Consider the following 22077-nt stretch of genomic DNA (forward strand, 5'->3'; position numbering starts at 1 on the left):
TTGTTTAAATATTTAGTCTAGATTATTTGACTTTATAAATTTGAGAATAATCTTGTCTATATATCTACAAAAAATCTTGCTGACACTTTGGTATGAGTTATATTAAACCCACCTGGGGAGAATTGGTATCTTCATTATGTTCAATCTTCTAATTCATGGACACGGTTTATCCTTCTGTTTATTTAGGTCTTCTTTGATTCCTCATGGCAAACCAAATCCAGCAGCACATCAAAAAGCTTATCCACCATGATCAAGTGGGCTTCATCCCTGGGATGCAAGGCTGGTTCAATATATGCAAATCAATAAATGTAATCCAGCATATAAACAGAACCAAAGACAAAAACCACATGATTATCTCAATAGATGCAGAAAAGGCCTTTGACAAAATTCAACAACACTTCATGCTAAAAACTCTCAATAAATTAGGTATTGACGGGATGTATCTCAAAATAATAAGAGCTATCTATGACAAACCCACAGCCAATATCATACTGAATGGGCAAAAACTGGAAGCATTCCCTTTGAAAACTGGCAAAAGACAGGGATGCCCTCTCTCACCACTCCTATTCAACATAGTGTTGGAAGTTCTGGCCAGGGCAATTAGACAGGAGAAGGAAATAAAGGGTATTCAGTTAGGAAAAGAGGAAGTCAAATTGTCCCTGTTTGCAGATGACATGATTGTATATCTAGAAAACCCCATCGTCTCAGCCCAAAATCTCCTTAAGCTGATAGGCAACTTCAGCAAAGTCTCAGGATACAAAATCAATGTACAAAAATCACAAGCATTCTTATACACCAACAACAGACAAACAGAGAGCCAAATCATGAGTGAACTCCCATTCATAATTGCTTCAAAGAGAATAAAATACCTAGGAATCCAACTTACAAGGGATGTGAAGGACCTCTTCAAGGAGATTTCTTTCATCAGTATTTTGCAGGTTTTAGCACACAAATACTATGTGTTTTGTTATATTTACATCCAATGAATTAATTTCTGGAGCAATTGTAAATAATATTATATTTTAAATTTCATTCTCCATGTGTTTATTGCTAGTATATAGAAATGAAATTCAGTTTTTTAAAAAAAGAATAAGACTTTTAATGGCAGTTTTATATTTACAGAAAAATTGAGTAGAAAGTACAGAGGGTTCCCATCCCACCACCTACACAGTTTCTCCTATTATTAACATCTTGCTTTATCTTGGTACGTTTGTTACAATTGATGAGCCAACATTGATCCATTATTATTAACTAAAGTCAGGATTCACTCTTTGTGTTAGGCACTGAATGAGTTTTGACAAGTGTGTAATGGCATGTATCCACCATAGTATCATACAGATTAGTCTCATTACCCTAAAAATCCTCGGTGTACTGTTTATTTATCCCTTTCTGCCCCCAAACCATCGCAACCACTGATCTTTTTGCTTCATCGTTTTACCTTTTTCAGAATGTCGTATAGTTAAAATCACACCAGATGTGGCCTTTTCAGATTGGCTTCTTTCACTTAGTATGTGCATTTAAGGTTCCTCCATGTCTTTCCATGGCATGATAGTTCATTTCTTTATTGTGATAAATAATGTCTCATTAGTGGGTGTATCATTGTTTATGCATTCATCTATTGAAGCACATCTTGGTTGCCTGTAAGCTTTGGCAATTATTAATAAAGCCTCTATAAACATTTGTGTGCAGGTTTTTTTGTGGACATAAGTTTTCACCTCTGGGGTAAATACCAAGGAGTGCAATTTCTGGATCGTATGGTGAGAGCATGCTTAAAGAAGCTGCGAAGCGGTCTTCCAAAGAGACCATACCATTTTACATTCTCACCAGTAATGAATGAGTTACTGTTGTTCTATATCCTTGTCAGCATTTGGTGTTGTCGGTGCTTTTGGACTTAGCCATTCGAATAGGTGTGTAGTAGCATCTCATTGTTTTAATCTGCAATTCTCTAATGACATATGATGTTGAACATCTTTTCTCATGCTTATTTACTATCTGTATTTCTTCTTTTGTGAGGCTTCTGTTAAATTCTCTCAGTTTCTAATTGGATTGTTTGGTTTTTTATTCTTGAATTTTAAGATTTCTTTGCGTATTTTCAGTACCAGTCCTTTATTGGATACATGTTTTTAAAAAAAAAATTATCCCAGTTTGTGGCTTTTCTTTACATTTTCTTAACAGTGTCGTTCACAGAGCAGAAATTTTAAATTTTAATAAAGTCCAATTTGTCTCTGTTTTTTTTCTTGGGTGATGCTTTTCGTATTGTATATAAAAAGTCATTACCCAACCCAAGATTCCCTAGAGTTTCCCTTATTTTCAAGGAGTTTTATGGTTTAGCATTTTACATTTAGATCTATGATTTATTTTGAGTCAAATTTTGTGAAAGGTGTAAGATCTGTGTCTAGGTTCATTATTTTGCGTATGGATTTTCAATTGTGTCAGCACCATTTATGGAAAAAACGACTTTCTCCATTGAATTTCCTTCGCCTTTTTGTCAGATTAGTTGATTATATTTGTGTAGGTCTCTTTCTGGGCTCTCTTTTCTGTTCCATTGATCTATTTATTCTTTTACCAATACTACAATTCCTTTGTTATTCTAGCTTGATAGTAAGTATTGAAGGTGGATTGTGTCAGTCTTCGTTTTTCTACTACGATAGATTTTTAAATGTTTAGCTTGCTTTCCTGCAAATATGCTGAATTTACTTATTAGTTCTAGAAATTTCTGGAGATTTTTGGAGATTTCCTACATAGATAATCATGTCATTTGCAAATAGGGACAATTTTATTTCTTCTTTCTTATTTAAATGTCTTTTATTTCCTTTTTTTTTTCTTTTTCTCTTTTTCTTTTTTTTTTGCCTTATTGCACAGACTATGACTTCCAGTACTACGTTTCTGTCATTGATTTCTAGTTCATTCAATTGTGGGCAAAGAACATAATCCATATAATTTCAATTCTTTTAAAATGGTTGAGATTTGTTTTACAGCTTGGGATATGATCAGTATTGGTATATGTTCCTTGGTACTTGAAAAGAATGCATATTCTGTAGTTTTATTGTATTCTATAAATGTTGATTAGTTAGATTCTGTTGGTTGATGATGATGTCTAGTTTTTCTGTATATTTTCTAGTTTTCTGTGTAGTTGTTCCATCAACTAGTAAGAGAGAGGTGTCGAAGTCTCCAGTTAAAATTGTGGATTTGTCTATCTCCCTTTTCAGTTCCATCAGGTTTTGCTTCACTTATTTCATAGCTCTGTTTTTTTTATACATACACATTTAGGATTGCTATGTCTTCTTAGTAGATTGAGCTTTTTATCAATATGTGATGTTTTTAGTAGTTTTCTTTGTGGTGAAGTCTTCTTGATCTTATATTAATATAGTGACTCCTACATTCTTTTAATTAATATTTGAATGATATAACACTTTTTCATTCTTTACCTTCAACTTACCTATATCACCAAATTTGAAGTGAGTGTCTTATAGACAATGTATAATTGGGTGATTTTTTTATAAAAATCTGGTCTGGGAAGCTGTGCCTTTAGTTGATGTATTTAGACCATTTATATTTAACATTATTAGTGATATGTTATTGCTTAATTCTATCATATTGATTTTTGCCTTCTATATTTCTCCGCTTTCTTTTCCTGCCTTCCTAGGAGTTACTTGAAATATTTTTAGAATTCTGTTTTGATTTATCTATAGTGGTCTTGAGTGTATCTCTTTGTATAACTTCTATAATCATCGGTTTAGCTATTACATCATAAATACATGTTATTATGGTCTATCGATGTTGACATTTACCAATGTAAGTAAAGTGCAAAACTTTACCTTCTTTATGTTCCTTTACCCTCTAGCAATTATAATTCTCACATATTTCTTCTACATATGTTGAGAACTGCACGCAACATCTTACTCTTTTTGCTTCAATCATCAAACATTGTTTAGAAAACTTAGGAGGAAGAATATATATTGTATTTACCCATATTTTTACTCTTTCCATTGTTTTTGCTTCCTTTCTGGTGTTTTTCTGTTATTTTGCTTTTGTTTAGAAAACTCCTTTTATCTTCTTAGTAATTCTGTTGGTGACAAATCTTAGTTTTCATTCATCTGAGGATGTCTTGATTTTCCTTTCATTACTGAATTATATTTTTTGGTAGGTATAAATTTTGGGGTTAACAATTTTTTTTTCTTTTAGTGCTTGAAAAATGTTATGCCACTTTTTCCTGACCTTCCTGGTTTCTGATAAAATATCCACTGTCATTCAAGTTCTTTTTCCCTTTATGTAAGGTGTTGTTCCTCCATCCCTGCTTTCAGGATTTTTCTTTGCCTTTAGTTTTAAGAAGTTTAATTATCACATGTTTTGGTGTGTATTTCTTTGGGTTTATCCTGTTTGGACTTTGCTTAGCTCCTCAATACTTTAGATTTATGTCTTTTGATGACTTTGGAAAGTTTCAGTCATTATTTCCTTGAATACTTTTTCAGCCCTGTCCTATTTCTTCTGCTCTTCTGAGATTTAGGAGACGTGAATGTTAGACCTTTTGTTATAATTCTACAGATCTGTCAGTTTTTGTTCATTTTTTAAGTCTATTTTCTTTCTGCTTTTTAGATTGGATAATTCTCATTACTCAATCTTGAAGTTAACTTACTGTTTTCTCTGTCCCCTTCATTCAGCTGTAAAACACATATGTTAATGTTTTCATTTTAGTAATTATATCTTCCAATTCTAAAATTTCCATTTGGTTCTTCATACTTTCTATTTTTTTTTTTTTAATTTGGCTCAAGGCTGGGTGTGGTGGCTCATGCTTGTAATCCCAGCATTTTGGGAGGCCAAGGCGGGTGGATCACCCGAAGTCAGGAGTTTGAGACCAGCCTGGCCAACATGATGAAACACCCTCTCTACTAAAAATACAGAAAAGTTAGCTAGCTGGGTGTGGCGGTGGGTGCCTGTAATCCCAGCTACTCGGGAGGCTGAGGCAGGAGAATCGCCTGAACCCAGGAGGCGGAGGTTGCAGTGAGCCGAGATTGCGTCATTGCACTGCAGCCTGGGCAATAAGAGTGAAACTCTGTCTTGGGAAAAAAAATTTGGCTCAAGCATTTTCACATTTGCCATTGAAGATTTTTTTTTTTTTTTTGTATCATGGCTATTTCCAAATCTTCTTCAGATAATTTCATCATCTCTGACATCTCAGCATTAGTGTCTAATGCTTATTCTTTTTCACTGAAGTGGTGATTTTCCTGGTTCTTGGTATTACTAATGATTTTTTTATTGAAGCCTGAACTTTCTGAATATTATAAGACTATGGATCTTATTTAAATCTTTTGTTTTAGTTGGCTTCCTTTCATACTACCCCAGTGAAGGAAGGAGTAGGCATTGCCTCATTAATTCCAGGCACCCCCTAAGCCTCTTCTGTTACCTGTGGTAGAGAGAGGCTCCCTGTTGCTGCTGAGTGCTAGTGAGGGTTCTGGCCTCCCATGATGCTTCCTCTGATACCAGTCTCGCTGGGCAAGACCTCATTACAGCTCTAACCATAGCTTCTGCTGACAAAGGTGGTGGGAGGGCATTATGCAGTGGGGGTGGTGAGGGTCCTGACCCTCCACTAGGCCTCCTATGACACCACTCTAGTTAGAAGGGGCTACCTCATTTCTACCTCTTAGAAGTAGAAGTCTTAGCACCCTATATGGTCTCTACTATCACTGTGGAGGGTGACCTCATGACCACCCTGCAGGGATGAAAGTCCAGGCTCCTTATTCAGCTTTCTCTGATATGACCTAGACTTGTGGGTGTGGAGGGGATGTGGTTGAGACACCTTGTTACAAACTGTGGAGGAGAAAGTGTACACTCTCAGTTTTTGCTTGTAGCGGTGGGACTGCAGTATTTTGTAGTGTTTGGTCAAAGTAGAGGGGTTATTTTCTAAAAGTTTTTTGCCTTGGCATGCTATCCTTTACCTGGTCCTTTGGATGGGCATTTTGTTTGTTTTTTAATCTGTGACCATTGTTGATTCTGGCTTGCTGGCTTTTCCATCACTAAGTCTAAAATACATGGGCAATACGAAAACTCAGGAAACTCACCAGACCCAGTGCTGTTCCTTGGGTCTCAAAGTCCCTTGCCAGCCTGTCTTCTGCTGTCCTCCTTCTAGAGACTTCTTATGCTTGTTTTATAGGAAATGTCCAGAGTTATTAGTTGTACTTACTAGAAGGAATAGGGTCAAGTGTGTCTACTTCATCTTCCTGGAAGCAGAAGTTAACTTTATCTGGTTATATTCTGAAGGAACAGCTGACTGGATTGACTGATGGGCTGGGTATGGGGTGTAAGGGAAAGAGCAGTCATTAATGACTCTTTTTTGTCCTTAGCAATTGGAGGGATGGAGTTGCTATTAGTAGAGATAGAGAAGGAAGACCGAGGTTGAGCTGAGTTTTAAGAAGATGATTTGCAGTTTTTGAACATGTTACATTTAAGATACATAGTGGAGTTTTGTAGGCTTTTGGATTGCAGAGTCTGGAGTTGAAGGTGGAGGTCTGGGCAGGAACTGTGCATTTAAGCGTCATGGCATGGAGGTTATAAAGCTGTGGGATAAGACTAAACCATGTGAGAATGAGTGCAGAGAGAAGGGAGATCAGTCCAAGGACTGAGCCCTAGGATGCTCCATTGTTACAAGGTCAGGGATAAGAGTAGGGGCCAGCAAAGGAGACTAAGGATGGGCAGCTTGGGAGGCAGGAATCATGATGAATGTTTTTTTCAGGGCAGGGAATGATGAGATGGACCAAATACTGCTGAGAAGTAGAGGAAGGCGCAACCGAAATCTAATCCTTGGATTTAGTAGGTTGTCCAGAGCAATGTAGAAAAACATTTGACGTAAGGTTTTGCCTCATGGGATTTTTACTTATCAAGCTCACCATCACATTTTATATCATTCATAAAAGGTAAGCTTTAGTACTGCTTGGACTCCAGTGCTGGGATGAGGAATTTGATCCAGTGAAATTATCAACAATTAGAGACATAAACTGCTCAAAGGCACCATAGTAATTTCATCAGACCTATTTATTTGTTTCTTGTTTCTTCTGTCTACTTATTGAAACCTACTAATATATTGGCCGGGCGTGGTGGCTCACTCCTGTAATCCCAACACTTTGGGAGGCCGAGGCAGGTGAATCACCTGATGTCGGGAGTTTGAGACCAGCGTGGCCAACGTGGCGAAACCCCATCTCTACTAAAAATACAAAAATTAGTCAGGTGTGGTGGCCGGTGCATGTAATCCCAGCCATATGGTAGGCTGAGGCAGGAGAATCACTTGAGAGGCAGGAGAATCACTTGAACCTGGGAGGCGGAGGTTACAGTGAGCCGAGATAGTGCCATTGCACTCCAGCCTGGGTGACAAGAGTAAAACTCCATAAAAAATAAAAAATAAAAGAAAACCCTACTAACATATTGATAATTTAATAATAAAAATAGAAAAATAATTTTTATTTGCTATTTTATAAAAATTATTAATACCACAATAAATGACTTTATTTCATTTTTATTTCAAATTAAATGGAATGATGAAAACATATATGGGGCTCATATTTTATGCAATCATACTTTACTTTTTATATATTGCCCCCTTGAATCTTAATACACTACCTCATAGTAGTACATCAGGACTACTTGAAAGCCAAGGATTTCATCTGAAGCCAAGGAAACAAAGAAGTTAGGTCTCTCACCCAAAGATCGGCGAGCTGCCTCCATTTCCATAACTTTTTTCATAGTCAACTTTAGAACATTTAAAAAATATTTATGATTCGTGTTCCTCATGAGCAATAGTCACTTTAAAACAAGATCTATTTGTTAATTAGGGAAGATTTGGTAAGCTTTATTATTTTACATTTTAGTTTTGTATAGAGCATCAATATATTTTTTTTCTTTCTATTTAGAAACAAGTTTGGGGACATGGGGATAAAATTACAGTGACTTTTAAGTGTTAATATTTTTAAATATAATTGATTTTTATCAGCTGCTTTTTCTAGTACCCAAGTTCATTGCTTCAAGTCTGTACATAGCCAAGGCCAAGGCTGTTATTTACACCAATAAACCATAGATTTAATATTGTTAAGGAAAGTGAAATGTCTTATGGAAAGCAAAGTGTTAACTTGTTTCCAGAGCAACAGCTGTTGTTATGCACTATGGAGGGAATTTGCTGTAACAGCTTGCTATGTTGAGTAGCTAGAGAGGAAGTCTTCCAAAGATATATCCTATCACTGCAAATAAATAAGGAAAATGAAACCCCCTCCTAAACCATATACAGAGTAGCTATGGGAACACTATGTTTGATTTTTGCAATGATTTCCTGCGTAAAATGGGCAATTTTAGATGGCTGGTTTTTTCAAATAGAAACTGGAAAGTTCAATGTATGCAGTTCATTATCAAAAAGAAATATTGACAATCTACATGCTGGGACTCTAAGCAGAAGAGTCAGAAGTGACTTCTGATGCTGTTGATTCTCTTTTTATGGAGAAACAAACAAAAAACTAAGGGGGTTGGTTAAGTGACTTCCTTCTAAAGAAGACACAGCAAATAGTTGTCAGGTCAGTGAGGACAACTCAAGGCTACCAGCAGACATTTCCACCACATTCCTTTAGCTCCATCCCTAGAAGAGCCAAGTCTGTAAAAGATGCCCAGGGAGGTACTGCACTCAGTGAATGCTGACATTAAACACCAACGATCTGTTGGGTGCAATGGTGTGCTCTTTTAGTTCCAGCAACTCAGGAGACTGAAGTGGGAGGATCTCTTGAGCACAGGAGTTTGAGGCTGTAGTGAGCTATGATCATGCCTGTGAACAGCCCTGCACTCTAGCCTAAGCAACATAGTGAGAAGCTGTGTCTAAAAAAACAAACAAAAAAACAGCAATGATCATGTTTCTTGATAAGTAAAGAAAATGTGACTCTCAGCCTGTGAATAAATAAACTGCACACATTTGTTCCAGGATAATGAGGTATGCTTGCCCTGCCAGAGATGCTAGCTATGTCTCAGCTATCTTGTCTGTCCCAACGAGACACTCATCTTACCCTGGCTGTTCGTATGTGGTTCACATTCCAAACTACGCCGGACCTGATTCTGAACCGGCCAAGTATTTTTCCAAGGCATCTGCTGGCAGACACGGGCCACTATTTGCAGGTACAACCCTCTCAGCCCATCAGCTGATAGCTACTCTTATCTCTGTATCTTTATTTTCTTCCTAGAAACTTTTTGTACCTCTCCCTTTTTATTCAAATTTATCTATAAGGTCCCTTGATCATGTCAATTTCCCCACTGGGTAGACTAGTTTACAGAAAGTATTGTCAGAGTTTTCCATGCCTTTGTCTCACAGTATTTTACCACTTAAGAAAAAAGCATCAGGAAAATATAAGGCTCTGTAAGAAAGAAAAGAAAGTATGTGTTTTTCTACCTTTTTTTTTTTGGTCTATTTTTCTTACTGAAAACACTCCCATGCGAAACCAGACTGCAAGCATTTTGTCAGTGGTGTTGATATTGATGGACTGAAGCTCCATGTGGACAAACAGCCAATGTTAAGTTAGTCAGTGATTTTTGTAATATTGTTATAGAAAAGGTGTCCAGATCCAGACCCCAAGAGGGGGGTTTTTGGGTCTCGCGAAGAAAGACTTCAGGGTGAGTCTGTAGAGTAAAGTGAAAGCAAGCTTATTAAGAAAGTTGAGGAATAAAAGAATGGCTACTCCATAGACAGAGCAGCCCTTAGGGCTGCTGGTTGTCCATTTTTATGGTTATTTCTTGTTTATATGCTAAACAAAGGGTGGATTATTCATGCCTCCCCTTTTTAGACCATATAGGGTAACTTGCTGACGTTGCCATGGCATTTTAAACTGTCATGGTGCTGGTGGGAGTGTAGCAGCGAGGACAACCAGAGGTCACTCTCATCGCCATCTTGGTTTTGGTGGGTTTTTGCCAGCTTCTTTACTGCAACCTGTTTTATCAGCAAGGTCTTTATGACTTGTATTTTGTTCTGACCTTCTATCTTGTCCTGTGACTTAGAATGCCTTAATCATCTAGGAATGCAGCCCAGTAGGTTTCAGCCTCATCTTACCCAGCTCGAGATGGAGTTGCTCTGGTTCCAACACCTCCGACAATATCATTTGTATGAAAAGTTCATGCAACTTGGGCCAAAATGTTCCACTGAAAAATGAGCACATCATAAAAGGACCAGTATGACGTGTTCCTTACATTCTCCCTCCAGCTACTTCCCTGAAGCCAAAGCTTTTCACTGTTCTGCACCTGCAAGCTGAGCTCCTCCAAGCACCACTCCCCACTCCTCCTCAGTCCCCTTTCTTCTTACTGCCTGCTCTGCTGTTTCCATTTTCAGGCCAGTCCCACTCTCCCCTTTAAGAATCACCTCCCCCAAAGAGCTTTTATGCAATATGCTAAGATTGCACCCTTTCTCTATTCTGGCATAATAAACCATCCATAGTCTTTCCTTGCACTTGGCATAGACGATAGCCATCTAATTGTATATTTCTTTCCTTTTAGACTGCTTGGTGGCACATATTGTACTTTTTCATAGTGTATCACCAATAAGTGCTCTCCTAGCCTAGCACAGTAGCTGATACAAGGTAGATTTTCAATCGGTGCTCAAACATGTAAATGAGAGTGTGGAACTCAATTTAGTTGTTAACCACTCCTTTTTCTGGGTGTCTTATAATACAAATAGAGGGGAAAATATCAAATCATTTTAGTACTATGAAATTTCTGAACTCACTTTTCTGATACAGAAATCGTAGAAACTACTTTTAATTCACATACCTAAGAGAAAGATTCCAAGATGTGTAATAACAATATCATAAAAGACTATAAGTTTCCCTGGGGAAATGTGATTTCTTGGATGTTAGATGTTTATGAGGCAAATCACCTAAAAATTATGAAAATGAAGACTCAGGGGTCCTAGAATACTTACAACTAAGTAAATAAGCCTTTGCTATAATTATTTTCTACTGTCTGTACAAAAGCCAAAGCAAGCAGATTCCAATTTAGTGTTTAAAAAAGTATAAGAATAAAGTAGTCTTAAAATGTTCCTATCATGGCTTAGTCTAAAAGATCACAGGTCTTTTCAGGTGTAGATTGATTTTTTTTTTTTTTTTTTTAAGGAAATCAGTGAATGAGGAAATTTGTCTTTTCTGGCAGTTTTAGAATTGGGCAGGAGGATTTACAGAAGTCCCTGGTGTTCTTGATTCATTTGAAGCACTGGAATTCCGGCACATGGAGAGGAAGATTACATAGCACTCAGCAATCTGTTTTTTTTTTTTTTTTTTTTTTGTGACAGAGTCTTACTCTGTCGCCCAGGCGGGAATGCAGTGGTGTGATCTCAGCTCACTGTAACCTCTGCCACCTGGGTTCAAGTGATTCTCCTGCCTCAGCCTCCTGAGTACCTGGGATTACAGGCGCCTGCCACCGCACCTGGCTAATTTTTGTGTTTTTAGAAGAGACGAGGTTTCACCATCTTGGTCAGGCTGGTCTTGAACTCCTGACCTCGTGATCCACCTGCCTTGGCCTCCCAAAGTGTTGGTATTACAGGTGTGAGCCACCGCGTCCAGCCTGAGCTCACTTACTTAGTACTCAGGTGTTAACATTCGAAACCTTGATACCTTAGCTCTTCTTTTTCCAAGGCCTGCTTCTCTTTCATAGGGATTTACATGATAAAGATTCTCCAGTGATTGTGACAGTGAGGTCAAGATCCTGGATTCATTTCCATTTTGAATGAGTTTGCTTCACTCTGTTCCCTGGCCATTGAATATCTCATTAACCTTGGGATTACAGGGGGTATTGAGTGGTAAATTGTTGATTCTCTACTTACTCATATTTTATTGAGCACCTATTACATGCCAACCATAAAGCTTCCACTGGGTTTAGAGAGATGAGCAAGACTGAGTCCCGGACACTCACAATCAGGAAGTGGAGGGGGATTGCACAGGGAATGGAAGTACAGTGCTCAGTCTAGTGACTGGCATTCAGTTAGCGCTGACCTTCATCCCAATCATCCTAATTATAAAATAAGTATTAATCATCACATTTTAGGGAAGGAAACTGAGGCATGGAGAAGCCAAGTAATTTGGCCAAGGTCGCACACCCGGTAAAGGGTATTCCAACTCTTGAATATACCTCTATTCTGAATGATTCTACACGTTCCTGCCTTTAGTGGAGGTAAGGAAGTAACTCTCTCCGTGATGTCCCTTTAAGGAAGGAAGGATGCTTTCTCAGATGAAGGAGAAGACGTGCTTTCATCAACTTGGACTGCTGTAACAAAATACCACAGCCTGGCGGCTTAAACAAGACATTTATTTCTCATCACTCTGAAGGTGTGAAGTCCAAGATCAGGGTGCCAGCATGGCTGGGTTTGAGCAGGGCTCTCTTCAGGGTTGCAGATGGCTTTGTATTTTGTACTCTTGCTGGCAGAAAGAGAATGAACTCTCTCCTCCTCTTCTCATAAAGTCACTAATCCCATCATGAGGACCCTACTCTCATAACCTCATCTAAATTTATTTACTTCCTCAAGTCTCCATCTTCAGATTCTCTCACACTTTGGGGGTTAGGGGTTCAACATATGAATTTGAGTGAGTGAGCACATTCAGTCCATGGTAAGTAGGAAGTCTATTTATTCTAGTTAGAGGAAACAGGATTGCAAAGAAGGGCCTTGAAGGATGGTAATAACTTTTCCTTCAGAGGACTTCAGCATTTTTTCAAAATTTCTGGCGGACATAGCAGGAGGAGCCAGAATGGGAAGATTTGATCCTAGAAGATGCAGAGGGATCAGTGCCAAGCAACTTTTAGAAACACAACAAACATGACTAGTGATAGTGGATTCTCCAGATAGCCCTGAATTAAAATCTTGAACCTATCCTTTACTGGCTCTTTAATTTCTGGAATATGACTTAACCTCTCTGAGCCTCATCTGTAAAATACAACATAGAGATTGCTGGGAAGACAGAGGAAAGAACACATGTGAGGGCTAAGCCATTGCCTGACTTGCAGAACCTGCTTTTTAAAACTAGCCACTCAGAGGGACCAGGAGTCTTACCTTTCTTAATCTGGCTGCATATCACAGTGTCCCAGTGGGCTTTATTTTTTAAAATTTATTATTAAAAATATTTGTTTATTTTTGAGAGACAAGGGTGGCGGTGGAGAATGTCTTGCTATGTTGCCCAGGCTGGATTTGAACTCCTGGGCTCAAGTGATCCTCCTGTGTAACAGGGATTACACAGTGTGCCACTGCACCCAGCTTTACTGGGCTTTTGAAAACACTGATGCCTGTGCCCACCCTTAGGGGTCCTCATTCAGCTGGTCTGGTTTGGAATCCTAGCATGGGTGTTATGTTTTGGCTCTCCAAGTGGTTCTGATGTGTGGCAGCAATGGGGACAACTGACTTGCCTCCCTTCCCTACTGAGGGAGACGCGGGCAGGGGAGGACCTTGGAGCTGGAGATTTGGCCCTGTGTGCTCACCTGGTCCCCTGGGGTGGACACTGAGTGGCTTTGTACACAGGACCTCAGTCCCCTCAGCTCTGTGACCTTGAGGATTCTGGTGACAGCTGTTTCAAAGTTGCATTGGACTATTATTACTCCTGTTACTGCAGCCACCACCCATAGGACCACTAATACTGCAAAGCCACCCTTCCTGGTACCCAGGAAGCCTCCCTCCTAACCCCCAGGCTCCTTAGAAGGAGCAAGTGAGATAATGAACATGGGCATGTTCTCAACCCTGTGTGAAGAAACTCATGCTTCTCCTGCTTCAAGGACTCAAGGTCACTGCCAGAGTGGAAGGTGGAATCCCTCCCCCTTCTGCCCAGTGTGCTTCCTCCCTGAAGCATCTCCTGAATCGGGCAAGTTTAAGGGTGGGAGGTTAATAAACTTCATCTGATCTCAGAGTTCTTAGCGTCCAGAAAACAAATCAATGGGCCACGCTGAGCACTGGACTTTGCTTGGCATGTTCACGATTGTGGGGTTCAGATGCAGAGATACTGTACAGCCTGTCCTTCTGCTTTGGTGCAGGCACTACTGTATTTTTAGACCTGCCCGACACTGCCAAGACAAGCAGTGTATGGAGATGAAGGCCAGGCTTGCTGGCCTGCACAACAGAAGCACATTGCCTAAAGCGAGGCAACATATGCTGGCGGCCCTCATTTGCTGCGAGGGAGGTGGGGGGTAGTGGCGTGTTTTGTTTTGGCTTCATTTGGAACATTTTATAGCACTTCACACTGCGTGTGCTTGAGGATGTGTCGAAACACAGGATTAGCTTTATGAACTAGCTTTGTGGGTGTCTGAGGCAATATAGCAAGTTTTGAAAAATGAATAACACTTAAGTTTATCTTTAAGCTGCAAATAAAATATTTACATTTTTGTATGTACAACAAAATCACTTATCAAAACACTACAAATTTGGAATTGTGATCATTTGGGTTGACTTTTCTCTCTATACCCTCTATGAAAGAAGGTTTGTTCTGCAAATTATATTATGCAAAATCAAGAGGAAATGTTTAAATATCTTAACAGAACAAACTGGTTTTGCTTGCAAATGAAAACCCGTAGAGACGCTCTTGATTCTTCCTGGTTTCTCACCACCTGTAACAACAGTAACACCAAAGCTTATGTCATCTCCATCCCAGCTGCTTAGCTCTGGGTCAGTCTTTTAAGAGCTCCCACTTGGGCTTGCTACAATAGCTACCTTAATTAGCTTTTCCTTGTTCTATTCTTTTTCCTAGCAGTTCATTCTCTGTATACTTACAACAGGGATACTCTGATACCAGTTGGATTGGTGTCTCTGATTAATGGTCTTGAGTACCCCCTGACACCCATGTGATAGAGGACCAGCTCCTTGGAAGGGAAAACAAAGCCTCAACCACTTTTCCAGGTTCCCCATTTTCTCTTCCCCTCATCCACCCGGTGGCAGCCGCAGGGAGCAGCTTCTTACCCCACATTCCATGGAACTCTTTCCCTCTCTGATTGGCATGGCCTTGCTCCTGCCTTCTGCCCCATGAATTGTAGACAAACGCTGAGACCCAGCACCATATGCCCTTTCTCACTGCTACTCAGCCCTGAAATCATGGTCTTTCCTGCCATTCGACACCATAATATTCAAGCATACCTCTACTAGGTATGTTTAGCACCCAGCGTTAAAAAAAGCAAATATGCTTTTTCTTCTGGGGAAAAGAACTTGCGAGGGCAAGGATTATGTCTTACTCTGGCAGTTTTTGGTGCCTTGCACGTAGAAAGCCCTCAGCATATGTTTGCTAAATTAAGTGGCTTCTGGTTGTCAGCACTGTGCCCATTTGTTAAGCAAGCCTGGCAAGGCCCCTCTTAGAGGCCCCTGATGAGACACCAGTTTGAGTTGTTGGATGGATTTGAATGGCTTGGAATGGAACTTATTCTAAAATCAGCTACAGTTAAAACGTCAGGCTGCTTTTGCCTATCATCTAAATTAATGAGGTTTTAGTGCATTTTTTACTCTATTTCTCTGGAAAAAGAAATACTATGGGGCTTTACTTTCCTAACTTTTTCCATTGAATTCAGAACAGATTCCCATTCTGCCACTAGCTTCTTGCCTGTGATAATCTTCACACATGCACAAAAAGGCACATAGATATGCAGAAGCACACTCATACAGACACACACACATGTTAGTGTGCATAATTAATAGTCAACTTTACTTCACGGCCTTCATTGTCCTGTAGTTTTTGGTTATTTTTATTTTTCCTTCCTGAAGGATTTTTAACAGACATTTCCCTGTACTGCCTACTCACATCACTTTGAATTTGACCATTCAGATATACCCAAGACATGAGCTCCTTTGACCTATGCTTGAATCTGAAATTTGAATTTGTGATATAGTTAATACTCTTTCTATTATATATTTTTATGGATAAAATTGAGACATCAGGAACATGGATTTACATTCCCTAAATCCTCTATTTAACAAACTAGACAATGTTTAATGATTCAATGACTGTTTTATTTTATTAGTTAACTTATTTATTGAATTTTTTTTTGAGATGGAGTTTTGCTCTGTTGCCCAGGCTGGAGTGTAGTGGCACCATCTCGGCTCACTGCAACCTCCACCTCCCGGGTTCAAGCTATTCTCCTGCCTCAGCCTCCCGAGTAGCTGGGATTAGAGGCGTATGCCACCATGCCTGGCTAATTTTTGTATTTTTTATAGAAACGTAATTTCACCATGTTGGCCAGGCTGGTCTTGAACTCCTGACCACAAATGATCTGCCTGCCTCGGCCTCCCAAAGTGCTGGGATTACAGGCATGAGCCACCGTGCCCAGCCTGTTTTATTTATAAATAAACAACAGAATACTTCTCAAATAATTACTAGAAAATATTATGTATAAAGGGAAATGTTAGAAAAATATGAAATGATATAGTTACACAGAATATGTTGATATCATATTTCAGTACACTTTTAGCTGATGATTTTCAGTCTAGATCTACTAGAATAAGGTTTTGAAATAAGTTGCTAGAAAATGTAATTCTGTAAAAGTTTAATCTGTTTGGGAAAATAAACTGAATTCTCCAGAACTATTTATACAACATCTGTTGTTGGACTGATTGGCCGCCATCCTCATTTCAGCACCTGCCCAAGGAGCTCTTCATAGGCCAATTTACCAACTGACTGAAAAATCAACAGAACTTACTCTCTTTAAAACCATTCTTTAATTCTTTAATCCTTTCACAGATTCACATGTGCTTTCCTTTAATTATCCACATTGTGATTGTATAGATTACATGTAAATGTATTTCCATTGTAAATCTTGCTTCATGTTCTAATAGGCACTAATAGAAGTTCAATATTATTTAAGTTAAACATTGAATTGTATCTAATGAGACAAATGGATTTTTAGAGATGCTTCTACTAGGCACAGTCCAAAATCTTCAAAGACAAGGCTGTGTAGTTTTACAAGCTCATATAAAGAACAAGAAAACCAACTCAGTTTTCTCTGAGATACAGTCAAGATCTAAGAGATTGAAACAATATAAATCACTAACCAAACAAAAATATCCTCCAAAAATTGCATAGGAATATAAAATTTGATATATACCTAAAAATATATATATAATTTTATATGTGTGTATACACACACACACACACACACACACACACACATTTATAGCCTCTAAGGACAGTCTTTCAGTTTTCAGTGTTAATATATGTGTGTGTGTGCATATGTGTATGTTCATATATATATATATATAAATAATTTAAAGCCTATCTCCAACCTAGATCCATCAGATTGGATGATATTTGTTAGTATCAGCCACATTGTTGACAAGACCATTTTATTACAAGGTGTCATAATTAATAAGAATCATAGCAAATATACTTGAGTGCTTACTACATGCAGCCGCTTTTCATATATTATATCAATTAATCCTCACTATAAACCTATGAAAAGAATACTGCTTTCTGCATTAGAAAACTAAAGTCTATCATAGTCACACAATTAATAAGCAGAGAAGCTCCCATATCATGTTTCAGTTCCCAAATGAATGTGCTTAATTCACCATGTGTTGAAGATTTTCTGATTGGCTCAGTTTTACTTTAGAGAGTGCATGAACTCTATGCAATTCTACAAGACAATTCTTTATTATGACTGCATATTTTAATTCTGCAATCAAAGTATGGTGCATGTGAAAACTATGTAATATAATTAGCTAGAAAATAGGAAGTTCCAACAAATTTTGTAATATGCTTGATGTTATGCACTTTTGAATGTTAGAAGCATAGGCAGGAAACAAAGCACATGGTGACGGCACTCAGGCATCTGACTGGGAGGCTATTTCTATGTGATCAAAGCTCTCCAGGCAGCCAAGGCCCTCCCTTCCTTTAAATACCAATCTGTGGTTGTACAGGGGATTCAGAATCAAAAGCTGGGCTCCTTTGCTAGATCAAATGAAAGGGCAGGGACTCGCAGTGGTCAGGAATGACAGCATTCTGGGGCGCATTTTTTCCACACTTCTGTCTTGCTGTCTGTTTCTTCCTCTGCTTCATCGTGTGTCTCCTCCCTTTCTTGCATCCCCTCCACTGCCCGCTGCCTTGACGCTCCTGCTGCTTCCTCTGCCGTCTGTGTGACCTGGTTCAGGATCCCTGAGCCTGGGCTTCCCTGGCTCATCTGATTCGGGCTGTCAGTGCCTCATGTGAGCTTCTGCTCTGCTGCTCATCACCTCACTTTCTCAGTTTTCCAGTTCCTAGGGGATCACAAGGATGATTCCAATTCATCTTTCAAACTGTTCTTCAGAAGGCATGGGTCAGAGGTCACCGTGCATTGGCTCTGTGTCAGGTATCTGCTCCCATTTACTGATGTTTTAGGTTTGTAGGAGTAGAGTCATGTGATATGGAACATGGCCACTACCTTTTTAGGAGGTAAATGGACAGAAAACGTTCCCATGAGAGATGGTATGAGAACTTCGTAGAACTTTCTGTATCAGTAGTCTACTTTGCCCAAACATGACTACTGCACTCTAAGCTATCATTTAAAGAGATGTTCCAACCTCAGTGGCACATCAGAAACAGTGTACAGCCATCCAGTTGTCCCTCAGCATCCACATATAATTGTTTCCCGGACCCATCCCCCTGAGGATATGAAAATCTGTGAACACTCAAGTCCCTGATATAAAATGGCATAGTATTTGCATATAACTTATGCACATCCTCCTGTATACTTTAAATCATCTCTAAATTACTTCTAATATTTACTACAATGCAAGTACTAGGTAAATTGTTGCTATACTGTATTGTTTTACAATTTGTATGATTTTTATTGTTGTATTGACATTTTTTGTTGTGTTTTTCCTAAATATTTTTGATCCATGGTTGGTTGAATCCACAGATGCAAAACCCAGATAGAGAGGGCTGACCATACAAGCTAAGGGAAAGAATACATGTTCCTATTGCTGAACACAAGACCCCCTGCTGTGCAGTGATAATGCAATCTTGATAATAATAGCAATAAAAGCCACCACACATGGTGGCTCATGCCTATAATCCCTGCACTTTGGGTGAAGGTGGCAGGAGGATTGTTTGAACCCAGGAGCTTGAGGCTGCAGTGAGCTGTGATTACATGACTGCACTCCAGCCTGTATGACAGAGCAAGACTCTGTCTCAAAGAGAAAAAGAAAAAAAGAAATGCCTTTTATTGGTTTCTTATTATATGCCACACACTTCACATACATTGTAAGTCATTCTTCTAATAGTTCTAAAGGATGGACACAAACATCTCTATTTTACAGAAAAAGAGACTTCTAGGAGTTTCAGTAACTGGTCCAAAGTTACCTTGCAAGAAAGTGGTAAATACTCAGGTCACTCGGACTCCAACACCTATGTTTTTCTACTGTATTATGCTGATTTTTTAAATTTTAACAAATATCATTTAAAGAAACTAAGACAAGAAATAGATTCTACTTTATTTACATGGATATTAATCATTTCTGCTGCTCTTCCTCTGTTTCTGAAGTTTAACGTGCACTCCGGTGTCATTTCTCTTTAGCCCAAAGAACTTCCTTTAGCATTTCCTGTAGAACAGGTCTGTTGATAACACATTCTACTCTTTCCTTCTTCACAAATGGCTTCACCCTACCCTTCTTTCTATATTTTCACCACGTGCAGAATTTTAGTTGAAGGTCTTTTCTTTCAGCAGCTTAAAAATGTTTTCCCACTGTCTTTTGGCTTCCATCATTCTTGATGAGAAAGTTAGAGCCTTGGGATTATTTCCCCATATGTTTTATGTAATGATTTTTTCCTCTGGCTGCTTTCAAGACTTTTTTTTTGTTTAGAGTTTTTGGTAATTTTATTATTATGTGTCTTGACTAATTTATAGGAGTTTATTCGCTTTGGAGTTTGCTGAGTATCCTGTATCTGTAAATTTGTGTTTCATCACATTTGGAAAGTTTTCAGGCATTACTTTTATGAATATTTTTTCTTCACCAATATCTACGGCCTCTGCTTTAGGACTCCAATGACACAAATGTGAGAACTTCTGATATTGTTCCACAAGCCTTTGAAACTTCATTTATTTTGTTTTCAATCTTTTTTCTTTCTGTTTCTCATATTGAATAATTTTTATTGCTTTATTTTCAAGTTCACTTACTCTGTCCTCTCTCATCCCTGTTTTATTATTGAGTCCATTGCATGGGTTTAATTTCAGATATTGTGTTTTCTAATTCTAAAATTTATTTTTGTAATTTATAGACCTTATAATTTCTTTATATTTATTTCAAGAGTATTCACCCCAGTCTATAGAAAATGGTTCTAATAACTACTTTCAAGTCTGTCTGATAATTCATATATCTAAATCATCTTTGGTTTGGCTGTCTCTTTGATAATTGATCAGATTTTCATTATTGTTGGTATATCAAGTAATTTCAGGTTGTATCCTGGACACCTTGAATTTTATGTTGTCAAAATTCAAAGTGTTAAATTCAGTGGAGAATTCACTGTTAAAATTCTCTGGATAATGTTGATTTTTAAAAAATTTGATTATTATTATTTTTTCGGCAGGCAATCAACCAACCCAATCTGTCCCTTTCTTCTGTGGTGGCAGTTTCAATTTTAATTCATTTTTCAAAGTCTATGTGATGCTGTTTGTGCTGTGCACCCTGGGGCGCACACCACTCAGGGCTTGCTCTGGAACCTGGACGGTCTTCAAACTGTAATTTGGTTCTTAAAGACTTTGCTATGCTTCTTGGTCTGTTTCCTGTGCATGTGCAACTTGGGGGTGTGCTTGGTATTTGTGTAGGTTCAAACGTGGAATTTTAGAGTCTTTTCTTTAGCTCTTTTCTCTGTGGGATTTTCTTTACACCCTCTGGCTCCTCGGACTCTTTTTCCCAGTTTCTCTGGCCAGAAAGGTTGAATTCTGAGTTCTGGCCTCCTGCGCTGTGGCACAGTTCCATGCAGCCATGACACATAGCAAGCAGCAAGAGAAAGGAGAAAAAACATAACCATGATTCCTCCCTCCTCTTTGCACAATGAGGGTTCCTTTTTGTGATTCCTCTATCTAGAGGGTTGGGTCATCATTTGGGATTTTAAGTGCCCACGCCTCCACTGGGGCAGCAGTGCAGACCTGTATTTAAAGCTGATCTGGAGGCAGGACTAAGGGAATAAAAAGAGGAAAAAATAAACATGGGGATTTACTCTGGCTTTAGGGGGCTATTTTCCTAGATTTCTAGGAAATGAATTCAACTAAAGATTTTTGCTATTCGCACCTTTTACACAGTTCCCCATTCGCTTGCCTTCAGGCCAAATCCATGAGGAAAAAAGAAGAAAATCAGATAACTTTGCAACTTGATCTCTGTTAAGACTTGACTTTCCTTCTCACTCCACTTGCTATTATTTACTTTCAGTCCTTATATGGTTGCTTGTCATACTTACCTAGTTTTAGTTGTGATCAGTACAGTCGTAGAATGGATTTCTTATTCTCTGAGCTGCTTCTTGTTGTTAATGATTATACCCCTAGCACTTGGCACAGAAGCTGTCCTGTGAAAGATAACCTCAACCTATTTCTAAATGAAATAAATGAAAATGTAAAATGTGAGACTCACCAATTGCCTAATAAACTATGGTAGGACAAGGACAGCAAATATTTGGCCACACTCTGCAACTCGTAATTTCCATACTCAAAGCTGACATTAGTATCTCTTCACTGCCCTGTTCCCTGCTGAGCCTGAATACAACTGCAGAATATTGTCTAACACAGCAGCCCTGGAAACCATGCCAAGTGGCCAGCACTGGTATGGGAAGTGAAAGCCTATCATGTATTCCTGTTTTCAGGACTTGGTTATTCACATAAAAATCCGAGCCTTCCTTTTCCATTTAACTGAAGTGACTCCTCTTCTCAAATTTCCATCCTCCCATCCTCTTTCCTGTAAAACTCCAGTTGATTGATAGATTTCTTCTTTGCCAGGAAGGCTTCTTGAGAAAAAAAAATATTCTTTTCCTTCTTATCAAGTTGTATATTTTCTTAAAATATAACTTGACTAATATGTTTCACTGAGCGTTCCCCCATCTATACTATCAAGAATTTATTTTAGCTTTTTATCCTTTTGGAAATGATGAAATT

The 22077-nt window shown here is 38.6% G+C and overlaps 1 protein-coding gene across 10 annotated transcripts in view; it reads left to right on the forward strand.

The window, feature by feature from the left end:
* TMEM182 (transmembrane protein 182) overlaps positions 1-22077 on the forward strand; it is a 106904-nt gene that overhangs the window by 38009 nt on the left and 46818 nt on the right. Inside the window, exon 4 of one of the 10 annotated variants that reach the window (XM_006712288.4) lies at positions 187-1678. The exons of the other annotated variants lie outside the window; for them this stretch is intronic. Coding sequence (XP_006712351.1) covers positions 187-197 — 11 coding nt within the window. The 3' untranslated portion in view covers positions 198-1678. Of the gene's footprint in view, positions 1-186; positions 1679-22077 lie in introns of those variants that run through there. 10 annotated transcript variants of the gene reach the window in all.

The sequence above is a fragment of the Homo sapiens genome, chromosome 2 (genome assembly GCF_000001405.40).
Source record: "Homo sapiens chromosome 2, GRCh38.p14 Primary Assembly".
NCBI lineage: Eukaryota > Metazoa > Chordata > Mammalia > Primates > Hominidae > Homo > Homo sapiens.